This window comes from Homo sapiens, chromosome 9 (assembly GCF_000001405.40).
Source record: "Homo sapiens chromosome 9, GRCh38.p14 Primary Assembly".
NCBI lineage: Eukaryota > Metazoa > Chordata > Mammalia > Primates > Hominidae > Homo > Homo sapiens.
In genome coordinates this window covers 76,115,930-76,130,299 of record NC_000009.12, presented here as the reverse complement: position 1 = coordinate 76,130,299, position 14,370 = coordinate 76,115,930, and the positions used below count along the sequence as shown (strand labels likewise).

The 14,370-nt window shown below is 35.7% G+C and overlaps 1 protein-coding gene across 8 annotated transcripts in view, besides 1 other annotated feature; it reads right to left on the bottom strand.

Moving 5' to 3' along the window:
- The window catches only part of PCSK5 (proprotein convertase subtilisin/kexin type 5), a 473,167-nt gene that overhangs the window by 232,676 nt on the left and 226,121 nt on the right, over window positions 1-14,370 (bottom strand). The gene's annotated exons all lie outside the window — the stretch shown is intronic.
- Window positions 4,726-4,953: a silencer, noted in NCBI's record as "fragment chr9:78740263-78740490 (GRCh37/hg19 assembly coordinates)". NCBI's record gives its function as "represses an EF-1alpha promoter that drives an FKBP-Casp9 reporter gene in an ReSE screen in HepG2 liver carcinoma cells {active_cell/tissue: HepG2}" and the evidence as "EXISTENCE:reporter gene assay evidence [ECO:0000049][PMID:32094911]".

Genomic DNA, 14,370 nt, shown 5'->3' with positions numbered 1-14,370 from the left:
ATGGCACGTCGCGTCCTCATGGTTACACACACTTTGTACACACACTCTCTTTCTTGACTCTGTTGATTTTTGTTTACCATAGCATTCAGAGGATTCCTGAGTCTTAATTTGTTATGCAGGTTCCAAAGGCCTTTTACCCATTCTTTCAAAGGTAAACAGAAAAATAACACACCAGGAAAATCATATGATTTTTATAATAGTTTACATGTATACCGTATGTCATAACATCAGTGTATTATTGCATACCATTATTGTTATGAACTTGTCATCTCCCCTGCCATGGCCACACTTGGATGTGGTTCGCAGCCAGGCTACGTGACTCTTCTCCGTTCAGTGAATCTCAGCTGAACCTCACCTTAAACACTTCTAGTTTTCTAGTTTTCAGCTGCAAAAACAGCATAATTAATGACACTATCACTACCCAGTATTTGCATTACATTTTTACTCTGAGCAGTTCAGAGTATTTCACAGGCCCAACACAAGGTTTAGAAGAAGCAGGACATCTCCTAAGAGAGACATTTTGTGTAGTGCTTCTTGTTGGGCTAAGTGCAACCACTAGCACTTCAATTAAAAAAGAAAAAAATCCTTCACCAAAGGGTTTTCCCAGATAATTCTGGGAAATTCATGTGTGAGTGCTAGAAATACATCTGTGTCTGGTGGTCTTTAAAAACAAGGACCAATTTGAAATCTTGGGTGACTGACTCACCTGCACTTATTAAGGAGAAAAAAATAACCAACCTCCCGCTCAACCCACCACCCAAATACATCCTCATTGTAATTTAGGGGCAGCTGATAAAAAAGACAACAGATACACATCTTATTACAGAAAGAGAATTTATCAATAAGAGGAGCAACAGCTAGTCTAGATAATGAAACTGTTTCCTAAAATAAAAGAGTAATTCTGTCTAATGAAATGATGAGGCCCAGATCAATGGGAAAAATAGCATGATCAATCAGCATCGCAAATATCCAACTTCCTAAACGTTCAAAACCAATTCAAGATGAAACTAGTCTCCTTCAATCCAAAATAAAACCACTTTTTTTAAAGATTATGTAAAATAGAAATAGAAACAAGCAGTCAGAAAATTAATGTCACTGTACCAATGCTAAAAGAAATCGGCAGTTACGGGAACAGATTCATGGTGAGCTGGAGACACAAAGATGAAGCAGAAAGTATTTAAAGCCTGCTGAGATAGGTAAAAACATTACTCTGATTGCAGCTAGTGTATGAAAGTGGTAATTCAAGAATAAAATACTGACCGTCCAACAAAGAAAAACAATCCTCTTTTGTTAGGTAATGAAGAGCCCGAAAGGATCATCAGATTGTCAGTCCCACTGCGAGCAGGAGTATCTGCCACTGGGGGTGCATTTGTTTTGCTTTGTTTTGTTTTGTGTTCTACAATAATTCAAAAGTTTCAGGCCTAAAATTGGTTTGTGGTATTGGAAAATACAGTTAATAATACCTCAAGATTTAGAAATGTGAGTTGTATTGGTATTACCCAAATACCCACTTATGATTCCTCCACACCTGAACCAAAGTGGAAAAAATGAAAGAAAAGCAGGACCACACAAAGTTTTATTGTGAAAATATTCTAATCCCCTGGATTTACTCTAAACCAAAGGTAAATTTGGATTCTAAGCACACTTAAGAGAAGATAGCCCCTAATTTATAAAGAAAAATTTTGTCATTGAAGCTGAGGTGTCTTTTCCTTAGAAATCCTGGCTTATCACTGCAAATACTTACTGCATGTAAAAGACAAAAATTATGTTTTTTGCAGCCCCTATGAAAATATAATATTTTGTTTGCAAGCTCAATCATCACTTCCTTGAAATACTTTGCTACATAAGCTCTTACAAAATAGAACTTGAGGAGGAAGGGTCAGTCATTTGAGATCACATGCATTGAAATCAAATCGCAATTATGAAGCTTTCCACCAGGTCTCCCTGTACACTTAACTCCCTCCAACAATTGTGCCCTGAATATAATCCTTAAGGCCTCTTTTTCTTCAAACCCATAACCCAGAATCTAGTTCTGGCCTTCATTTTTACCCCAAGCTTGAAAACTGTTCAGAGTAGGCAAAATGTGACAGTGTGAGTGTTCCTAAATGTATCCCCCTCAACCTGTGAGAAACTCTTGCTCACTGTCCCTTTTCTGCTCATTTTGTGGGCTGTCCCAGGACTTAGCATGTATAAATTATGCAGTTCTAGGCCCACAGACTAAGTCCTGCAGGAAGACATGGTTACCCCCCTCATTTCTATTTCTCATTCAAAATAATAATAAATTTTGTTTTGCATTCTACAGCCTCTTAATCACACGAGAATGGTGTAAATTACGCTTCAGAGTCAGGAAGACCTAGGGTGAATCATGATCTCCTACCTGATAGTTCTGTAACACTGGACAATTTACTGAACCTCTTGAAAGTCTCTGTTTCCTCAGCCGCAATGTGGAGAAAATAACGCTGACTCCACAAGATGGCTGCAAGAATTTGAGGTAATGGAAATAAAGAGCTTGGCATATCATAGGCTACCAAAGACAAGCGTCATGATGATTTATTGAGATTAGGAACCTACTGTACCATTATAACTCAGAAGGACTACTTTTGCTGAGTTTACACCAGCATTTGATGAATCTGTATTTAATTAGGCTAAGTTTTCTGCAATGTTCCTAAACTTTAGTAATATGTTTTTTAGTTTCACTAACAGATGAACAAAACAGCATTTTTAACACCTTGGTATATTTCTGCTTAGTGAAACAACAATGCTACTAAGATTTGTCAAAAAGATCTGGTTTTCACAACCCCATAGTGTAGATGGCAATTTAATTGGCTGGGGAGTGAAATTTTTGGACCCACTAGGATTGTCAATAAATCTACTCTACATGTGGGAGATCTTCTCTCTTGATGGTTAGCCATTGATGTAATTGTGGAGGATAGTGAGATGTTCTTTGGTTTGATATCAGAGTGCTTTAGAGAATCGAATGTTAGAATGAGGACTACAAGTATACTTATTTGCCTAGCCAAATTGCCAGACTGAAGTGCTTTTGATACTTTTCTACATAGTTCAGAGATTTGCAGAGTTCTCACCTCAAAAACCAGTAGTTAAACCCCTGGAGAGGCAACAGAAATCATTGACTGCATCGCCATTATTATTATGATTCTAAATTACTTTATAGCTGTTTTCTCCCATTTTTTTCCTGTTGAGTAAAAGAACTAAAATGATGCTTCTCTAGATGTTTATTGAAGTATATTTTAAAATGAAGCTTTTCAATGATCAGTTTTCACTGTCAACTTTAATGAAAATAAGCATTTTGGGTTCTAGAATTTGAAGTAAATGTTATTATGCCCATTTTTAAAGAAAAATTTGTATAAACTTATGGGGTACAAGTGTAATTTTGTTATGTGCATATATTGCATAGTCATGAAACCAAGGCTTTCAGGGAATCGATCACCCAAATAAAGTATGCTGTACCCCTTAGGTAATCTCTCATCGTCTAATCCCCTCTCACCACCTCCCACTTCTCATCCTCCATTGTCCATCATCCCACACTCGACATCCATGTGCACACATTACTTAGCTCTCACTTTTAAGTGAGAACATGCAGTATTTTGTCTCCGTGTCTGACATGTTTCACTTAAGATAACAGTCTCTAGTCCATCCATATTGCTGTAAAAAACGGTTTTTTTTTTGAGATGGAGTTTCACTCTTGTTGCCCAGGCTGGAGTACAATGGCACGATCTCAGCTCACTGCAACCTCTGCCTTCTGGTTTCAAGCAATTCTCCTGCCTCAGCCTCCTGAGTGGCTGGGATTATAGGCATGTGCCATCACGCCTAGCTAATTTTGTATTTTTAGTAGAGACGGGATTTCTCCACGTTGGTCAGGCTGGTCTCGAACTCCTGACCTCAGGTGATCCACATGCCTCAGCCTCCCAAAGTGCTGGGATTGTAGGCGTGAGCCACCTCGCCCAGCTGATTTCATTTTTTTATGGCTGAATTATTATGCCTATTTTAGAAACTCCTGGTTTAGTGTATCAATTCCTGGCAGTCTTTCTAATTGTTAGACATCATCGATAGGAACAAAAAATACTTTAAAAATTACACCACACACACACACACACACATACACACACACGCAGGAAAAAATCAACAAAGACTAACAGAAATCTATTACAAAAATTTTGATGTATTTCAAAAAAACTTATGAGCTAATGTGACTATGAGGAAAATAATTTTTAACTTTCTTTTTCATTGTCTCCCTCTATTATATATCTTGGGATGCCAAAATGCTATCTTTCCAGAATCCCTGATAATGAGGGGTACACAGGAGACAGAGTTCTGACTAATAAAGTCTACTGGGCATTTCTGAGAAAACTTTGCTTTCCTGCTATAAAGATTGCTAGTCCTGCATCATTTTGTCCTTTCTCCTTTTATTTGGAATGTGGATATGATGATTGGAGCTGCAGCAACCATTCGGAAAAGAACAACAAAAAACCCCACATAGACCTTGGCCTTGGAAGCCTTGAGCTTCTTTGGACTTGGTAGCTTGAGCTTGGTAGCCTTGAGTCAACATCTTGACTGCTAACTTGTGGATTTTTTTCTTGTACAACCCTCTTTCTTACTACAGAAGAAATTTCCTAAAAGATGTACCTCCAAAAGTACAGAGTAGTAGATGGCATGTATTGAAGGCTTACTGTGTGCCAGGCATACATACTATCAAAAGTATTCTATATTCATTATTTCATCTATTCTTCATGACAGTCCTGTGAGACAAATACTGTTATTACTTTCATTTCCAAAATAAGAACATCAAAGCAGGGAAAGTTTAACGATCTTCCTCAAAGTCATACAATTAGCCACAGTTGAGAATGGCCCAGGCAGCCTGATTCTAGAGCCTCAGCTCTGACCCTCGCCACCTGCAATGTCTTGGACTGGAGGGGTGCGTGATGGAAAGAGTCAGGTTAATGGTGTTTGTAGGGACTGGACGTTCAGCCTCTAGTTTTGTCAGAAGGGGGAGGAAATGATCTTCTCACTTCAGAGGGATCTCTGCTAGAATCTCAGAATCGGACAGGGAGGTTTATCCCTCATCCCATCCTTCAATGGCAGATTTGAGTAAGTCTGTGCTTGGAGGCTAAGCAGAGCAAGGACATAGCCACAGCCTTTCTGTAGCCAGTTTTTTTTTTAAATTGAGAATGAATAATTTTTTTAAACAAAGGAAAGAATGGGAACAAAGAAAGGAAAAAGAAATGTAAGAGGAGAGTATAGGGAAAGGAAAAAGTGGTGGTGAGAAAAAAGAGAAGAGTCCAGACTAGAAGAATAACAATAATATGGAGCTTATGGAAAACACAGTGCAGGGAAAAGGAATCAACCAAGCAATAAAGCAAACTGAGTGAGAGTAAGGAAGATTATGAGGAGTATGAAGTGGTATTAGCAAAAGCAAAGGATGCACAGGAAAGAGTAAATTGACATGGATAGGTGGAATCGATATCATAGAAAGCTGAGTTGATGTGGAATACAAATGTGACGACTTCTTGCATTTTTTTTTTTTTTTTTTTTTTTTGAGATGGAGTCTTGCTCTGTCGCCAGGCTGGAGTGCAGTGGTATGAATCTTGGCTCACTGCAACCTCTGCCTCCCGGGTTCAAGTGATTCCCCTGCCTCAGCCTCCCGAGTAGCTGGGTTCTACAGGCCCACACCACCATGCCCGGATAATTTTTTGTATTTTAGTAGAGATGGGGTTTCACCATGTTGGCCGGGACGATCGTGATCTCCTGACCTCCTGATCTGCCTGCCTCGGTCTCCCAAAGTGCTGGGATTACAGGTGTGAGCCACTGCACCCGGCCACTTCTTGCATATTTTTAAGGAAAGAGATGACAAGGAAGACAAGCCGATGGATTTGGAGGACAGGAAACAAACCTGGCTTCAGAATATTAGCTTTACCTTGCTCTGAGGACTAAAAATTACTGAGTCTTTCCTATTTACCAGATGCTTTACTGGGTGCTTTATGTATATAACTTCACTTAATGAACACACAACCCCATGAAATAAACAGCATTATTATTCCCCTTTTACAGGTGTGGAAACTAAGGCTTAGAAAGGTTCACTTCCTTTCTCAAAGCCGTGTAACTAGTAAGAAGCAGAACAGGAATTTGAAGGCAGGTTTCTCATATACTTCAGGGCCCAGGCTCTGAAGCTCTGTGGTGATCTTCGCCACTAATCAAAGTCACATCTGATTAAAAATGTTCAAGGTGGACTAAAAATACTTAATGTTTTCCAGGACATATTAATGAAAAGAGTTGCATCCCCTAGACTTGTCCTAAAATATATACGTTTTCATTACAATACAAATGAAAAAAGAAATCCTAAAACTAAGCAAAACAGGACTTCTAGTTAAAGACTTTCTCTGCAAAGCTAATTTTAGAAGATAATAAAACAGTTGAACTGATTTAAAAGAAATAAACCTGAGAATTTTACACTAGACTTGTCGTCCTTCATGAGTGAATACAGAAGATATATTTGCAGGATTGAGAAAACTGACCATCAACAAATACAGACTCTGAAGGTCAAAATAAAATAAACAATTTAAAGTTTTATTTTGATTTATGAATAACTCAAAATTTAAAACTGTAAAATATGTAGTTGTTATTAGAAAAGACCTAATGATGACTCCAAAATAAATTGAACAGAATTAAGACTTAATAATTGTTTTAAAAGAATTCTTCTGGGGATAAAAAATAATAAAAAATAATTAACAAAAATGGTCTGTTGCAGAAATCCAAATTATGGTATTAAAGATAGGGAAATAAGTAGATGAGGGCATTAAAGTAAATGTAAGCCATGTTTATATAGCAAGGAGTCAAAGGTGATAACTCTTCTATTACAAAACACATTTATTTTAAAATATGGCTTTATTTACAACTATCTATAAAATATGAAAACTAAAAATTAAATAATAGACATAGATTTTTTCCCCTGCACAAAACATATACAAAGATTCATGAATGGGAGGATTCATTGCAAACAATATAACGTTTTAGATTCAAAAACACTTAAAAGGACAAAAAGTTGAATTTGTTGACAAAGTGCTATCTAAAATAAAGATGTAACAGCATGACATTTGTGCATCAAAATGGATGAATCAAAGACTTTAAGAAAATAAAAGTAGGCCGGGCGCAGTGGCTCACGTCTGTAATCCCAGCACTTTGAGAGGCCATGGTGGGCGGATCACTTGAGGTCAGGAGTTCAAAACCAGCCTGGCCAACATGATGAAACCCCATCTCTACAAAAAATAGTAATAATAAAAATAGCCAGGCATAGTGGCGGGTGCCTGTAATCCCAGCTACTCGGGAGGCTGAGACAGGAGAATAGCTTGAACCTGGGAGGTGAAGGTTGGAGGTTGCAGTGAGCCAAGATCGCACCACTACACTCCATCCTGGGCAACAAGAGCAAAATTCTGTCTCAATTAAAAAAAAAAAAAAAAGAAAAAAAAAAGAAAAAATAAGTAACTGATGGAAGCACAGTAGTGTTCAGATAATTTAGTCCATTTATGTCAGGAGAAAAACATAGGATTCGTTTACATTATAGTTAAAATTTAATAATATTGAAATATATGTCCTACAAAGAGTCATTTTTTTTTAAGACTTCACAGATCAACTTAAGAGTTTGTAATGAAAAGTTGAAGCTACATTGGGCCAAAAGGAAATTTCAACAATTGCCCTAAGCAAAAACAATACGTCACCAAACACCAGTGTTGCTGATAATCTAACCCTATTATCTGGACACAATGTAGTGAAAAAAAGGTCAATAATAAATCTCAATAGCGACAAAGTTTGTTTAACACTTAACAGTACTTTACTCAATTGTCATTCTATCAAACAGCAAGTGAAAATATCATTAGAAAATAACAGTCTATCAAAAGTGTGTTCAGAGATAAATTCACATCTTTAAAAAGTTTTATTAATATAAAAGGAAAGATAAATGAACCATGATTCAGCCAATAAGAGTCATAAAAGAATGAAGAGGAAAACAGGAAAGAAATTTTAAAAAGAAAGAAAGAAAAACAGAAAAAAAATTACTGATAAATCTCAAAACTGGACCTTTGAAAAACAGTAATAAAAAATTTAACCAAGAAAATAAGAAGAAAACACTAATAAATTCTAAATATTAAGGCAGTCATAAAAACCAAGGCCGGGCGCGGTGGCTCACGCCTGTAATCCCAGCACTTTGGGAGGCCGAGGCGGGCGGATCACGAGGTCAGGAGATCGAGACCATCCCGGCTAAAACGGTGAAACCCCGTCTCTACTAAAAATACAAAAAATTAGCCGGGCGTAGTGGCGGGCGCCTGTAGTCCCTGCTACTTGGGAGGCTGAGGCAGGAGAATGGCGTGAACCCGGGAGGCGGAGCTTGCAGTGAGCCGAGATCCCGCCACTGCACTCCAGCCTGGGCGACAGAGCGAGACTCCGTCTCAAAAAAAAAAAAAAAAAAAAAAAAAAACCAATACAAGAGATGTTTATAGTATTAGAAAATACTGGGATTTCTTCTAAAAATGGCTTTGAGGCCAGATGGTTTCCTTCAAACATGCGAGAACTCTGATCCCAAGGGTCTCTGGAGAGAAAATACAAATTGCAAAATTCCATAATTTATTTTGTGAATTTAACATCATCTGATACCAAAAACTTGCAGAGACAGGCCAGTTTCAAGGTCAAACCAACGTGGGTTAAAAGCTTGACTCTCCGTTTACTACCCATGTTACCTTATAGATGAGAATTACATGAAATATACCAAAAGTATACTTTAGAAAATGCTATTTATCTGCTGTAGGTACACAACTAATGTTAGCTAGCTGCTGTAATAATAGCATAGAACACACATATATACACACACATTAGGTAGTAAAAGAAAATCTCAGAAAAATAAACTCAAAGACATAAAACACGCTAAAATGAAACCAATAGCATATTAAATAACTAAATCTGATTCATAAATATAAGCAGGGAATAATATTAACAATGTATTATTCTAATAAATCATATCAACAAATCTAGTATGAGAAACTATATATTCATCTAAACAGATACGGAAACACCCAAATCTCATTCCTAATGATAATACAAAACAAAAAACGCTGCATACGCATTATGAAGAACATCTAAAAGAAACACAAACATTGACAAAAAGTGAAACAGAAGGTAAAAAAGAAAAAAGAAATCAATAGAAAATCAGGATCTAAGTGTGAACCCTTACTATCTCATAATATTTAACATTTTTTGAAGGGTTAATGTAATAGAAATAATACTGTGATGATATCAGCTTCCTTATTTTAGTACTTTCCATATACCTAAGTTCACTTAATCCTAGCAACAATCCTGGGATTCCGAGTTACTGACCCAAATTTCAGATGAAAAAACTCCAATTAAACAAGGTTAAGAAATACGACTTCCACTTGCTCAAGGCTATCCAGGAAATAATAGTAGAGGCAGGATTGGAACAGAAGTTAGCTTGACTCCAAAATCTGAACTTATAATGACTAATCTGTACCACTATCCAATAAGAATATGAAAAATTATTAAAAAGAGACAAGTATTACTATCATCAGATGCTATGAATATATTCTGGAAAAAAAAACAAGAAAATCAGCTATAATATAATGTGAGTTAAAGGACCTAGAGATAAGAAAAACATATAAAAATAATGGCTCTGTTATAGATAAGCAATAATCAGTTAAAGACATAATGGTAATAGCAAAACAAACAAATACTTGCTACTCCAAAAAATAAGTCTGAAAAACTATGAAACTAAGGACAAGTCTGATACATTAATATGCCAATAAAAAGAAGATCTAAACAATGTAGAAAGATTTTTTTGATTGGGAAAACTTGTAAAGAAGCCAAGATTTACACAATTGTTATAAATTGCCACTGGGATTGTTTTTGGAACACAAAAGACTGGTTCTAAATTTTATCTGGGAATATGAACAAATAAGAATGCTTAAGAAAATGTTTAAAATATGAAGTGATTCTGTAATGTTTAAAGATTTGGTAGAAGATAAAACAGAAAATGCTAAAGGAGATCCTCATAAATGCAACAACTTAAAAGAATACAAAACAAACTGCTTTTGGAGGAGATAGATTACTTAACAAATGACATTGGGCAAATAGGATCCCTATAAAAACTCAATTTACATCCTCATACTGGACAACAAAATAAACTCTAGTTGGTTCAACTTTAATGATGAAAAATAAAACAAGAAAACAGCATCGCATATTGTCACTGATTTATGGTATCTAAAAATCAAAACCAGTGAATTTATGAATATAGAAAGTAGAAGAAAGGTTACCAGAGGCTGGGAAGGGTGGTGATGGGAAGTGCTGGGGGGAGGTAGAAATGGTTAGGAGAGGTCAAAAATAATAGTTAGAAAGAATGAATAAGACCTACTAAATGATGGCACAGCAGGGTGACTATAGTCAATAATAACTTAATTGTACGTTTAAAAATAACTAAAAGAGTGATTGGATTATTTGTAACTTAAAGGATAAATGCTTGTGTCATGGATATCCCATTCTCCATGATGTGATCATTACACATTTCATGCCTGTATCAAAGCACCTCATGGACCCCATAAATATATACACATACTATGTACATGCAAAAATATTAAAAATTAAAAACTCAAAAAAGAATAAAGAAAACACTACATGAAAATGTCAGTCATTAATTAATAAATGTTGACATAGGAAAGAGCTTCCTAGCCTGAGGCTTTTTAATCTGGGGTCCATGAATTCCCCTAAGGTACAGGAAATTCCTTGCCACATGTAAATCTGGACTCATTTAGGGTAAAACATACATAGCTTCATCAGCATATGTAAAATTCTCTAGGAGGTACAAAAAGATCAGGTATGCCTATATAATTGAAGATTTCATAAAGGACACATATATTTGACTAAATAATACTTTTAAAATAAATTTAAAAATTCCCTATTTCAAAACAATATAAACAATACCTAAAAGCAAATGAAAAATTAAAAAACATTTGCTGTAACTATGGCCAGAAGGTAATATGTTGAGTATATGCAGGTAAGACAAATATGAACATGAAAGAGTATTAGGTGATTAGTAGAGGATTCAAAGATTATCTTTTCGAGTGACTTTGAAACACACTTTTGAAATTCAATTTGAATACTAGTCCTCACAATTCAAAAATGTCTCAGCACCTAATTTCCAACAACTGAATGGAGACAGCACCCACAAAAACTTGAAACCTTCTTTAATCTAATCTTGCTTGATTGCAGGTTAGAAAAAACATTATTTGGTTAAAAAAAAGGTTGGTTTAAAAAAACAAATGGGAGGGGAACAACAAAATGAACAACATGATCTGAAAGGAAAGCAAAATGCAGATTAAAGACAAAGTATGCAATATTTTTTATAGTAAACATGCATATATTAAGAATATTTGGAACTAGCATCATAGCATTAGGAGTTATACTAAAAGCTTAAAACATGCTTAAAGTTGGCTGTGTAGGGAGACATTTGATTTACATGTCTGCATGATTTATATATATGTTTTGTAAAATGTGTTATTTTGATGATAATATAATTTAAATTTATATTAATTAATTTGAAGATATTATCAAAATAATACATCATATAAATAAACACCTACATTTTAAAAATGGTTCTATTGCTAATAATAGATTATAATGGTCATGGGATTGCTCTTCCTGGTATCTGTCAGTATTAAATAAATACTTATTTGCTTCTAAGATACTAGTGGCAAATGAAATCAGTAGAATGCTTGCAAGCACCACTGTGATGAAAAAGGCTCTCAATCTTTTGGATTTCAAAGACTGGAATATTGTTTTTCAACTTGGGAATCAAAGTGAGATTCATCACTTTCATTGCTAAGTAAGGATAGCATCATTTCATACAAGTAAGAAAATGTCATGCAAAAACAGTATATATAATCAGAATGAGTCACTTTAAAATTATTTTTTAAAATTAAAAAATATACCTTTGTTTTAAAAATAACCTACATTGCCATTGTTATTCACCTTTGCCTGGTGACCCCTGAACACTCTCACTGAATAGCATCTCTACAGGCCAGATGGTTTCTGGGCAACCTTCCAATGTTACGATTCCTCAGACAAACTGATAACAATTGCTTTATATTCCAGGTATGGGATCCCAAATGCTTGAGAATTTTAGCACAATGAAAATTATAGAATTGAATACATCTGCTATGGAAAATGAGGCTATCAGATGTCAATTCCAATGGCACCTAAATTCAGAGCAATGAATAAAAATTCAGCATGACTAATACGATCACTCCTGTATCATACTCTCTCCAGGAAGCTCGCTACGACATTCTTCCAAGTTGTTCGCAAAGGTTTCCAATAGCTAAATGACAAGCAGACTCTGCTGAGAGCCCTTGAGAGACCTCACCTCCCTATTTTAAATCTCACTAGAATTCTCTTCCTTCGTACCAACATTCCCTGGTTGTGTACCAAGTTTTTCAAATAAATTCGAGTGCTCACTGAAGACTACATAACTGCATTCTTGCTGACTAGATGAACAAGTTTAATCTGTGAAGTGATGCCAGTTTTCAACCTGTTTTCAATCATATACAGGCAGGTTTCTAAATTTGTTATAGGAATGTAAAAATTATGGATCATTCAGGTATTCCTCTTTATCATTTGGCCTTCTATTAAGGCTTGGTTGTGATTGCAAGCTCTATTAGACGAAAAAGGTAAGATGTGCTTAACGTTGCCAGAAAGCAATAACTCAGTAAAAACTCACAAAAACCAAGTGTAAGTTGAATCACTTTTATGACTCCAGTTGCAGCAAAAATGCTGTCATCTCCTTGATGGCCTTGCCACTTCTTTTCCCTATTTGCCATTATTCATCCTTTCCTACTCTTACCCTACCATCAATCCCTCTAGCACAATATAATGCTTTGTTTTATTTTTTCCTTCATGCCAGATGTAATTATCTTTAATCTCTGCCTCCCTTGACTGAAATGTAGGCTCTATTGGAGCCAAGTTCAAGGCCTCACACACATTTGTGCTCAGCTTACTTGACTGTTCCTGGCAGCTCTGGCAAGGACCATGCATGTTTTGTTCATAGATGTATTCTAGTTCTTAGCACGGTGCCAGGCACATACCAAACTAGCTAAACATTGCAACTATGACTTGTAAGATGTATTACAGGTTCAGAAATGTGAAAAAAAAAGTTTGTTTCAAAATAAGGAAATTATGGTAACAAGCATGACTCAATAAATATTTCCTGAATGAATCAATCAAGATTTAGAGTTTAAACTTGTTGGCGCGATATCTCACTAACTACAGATACCTGAATAGATACCTATCCATACTTTTGAATAACTGTAGGGAAAGTTCCTTCTCTCCATTTACTCATTCATTCCCTTTACGGTTTATAGTGCCCATTTGTAATTAACCATGTCCCGTTACAGTACTTAACAAAGAAAGGTGATATGGTAGAATGGTGGGTTCTGGTGTCACATTACCTTGTATTCACCTTCCACACCTATCACCTGTGTGAATTCCTAACCCTCATTTTCCACATAGGAAATATGGTGATAATGCCTACCTTAGAGCACTGCTTTGAGGATAAAATGAGATTACCAATATAAACACTCAGCTCAGTATTTGGCATAAAGCATTCATTGAAGGCTGACTGCCGTTTTTTTCCACCATTTTATCTCTTAATTTTATCTTTTTGCACTATGCAGCATCTCCACACTCAAGGGGGAACAATGGCAAGTAGAATCTTTTGGGTCACAGACAGGATGTCACTGTCTGATGTACTACAGTCTTTACTGGTAGGGATGATACTACCAGGTGTCACAGACTTATTGCGTTTTCTGTGATATGCAAACAACATAAACTTTTACTTCATCTTAGTCACACATATGGTGCTTACTCAATAAGGTTCAGAATTATGAATAGAGAAATGAAAACTTAATCTAAGATGGTAAGAAATAATGCAATCTTATAAACATCCAATGTCTTTCTTTTTGTGTTACATGTTCTATTCCAGGTATTACAGTTTATTTCACTATGAATGTGCTGCTTGGAGCTTTCAACACATCAGATGTCATAATCATCTTGTTGATGTCAGGATGAATAAAATCTTACATGTTAGTAAAATGACATGCTTTCAATCTGTCATTTTTATTTTCCTTATTTACTTTTCTCTCCTATTGATGGCAAAATGCATTATGATTATAAATTTTTAAACAGAGGAAAAAAAGAATGTTGGTATCAGTTAATACAAAAACTAGATTCCAGTGTCACTAGGAACAATTAGGCTCTTCTGAACAAATGACACCAAACAATTTTAACTTTTATGTGACAAAAATGTCC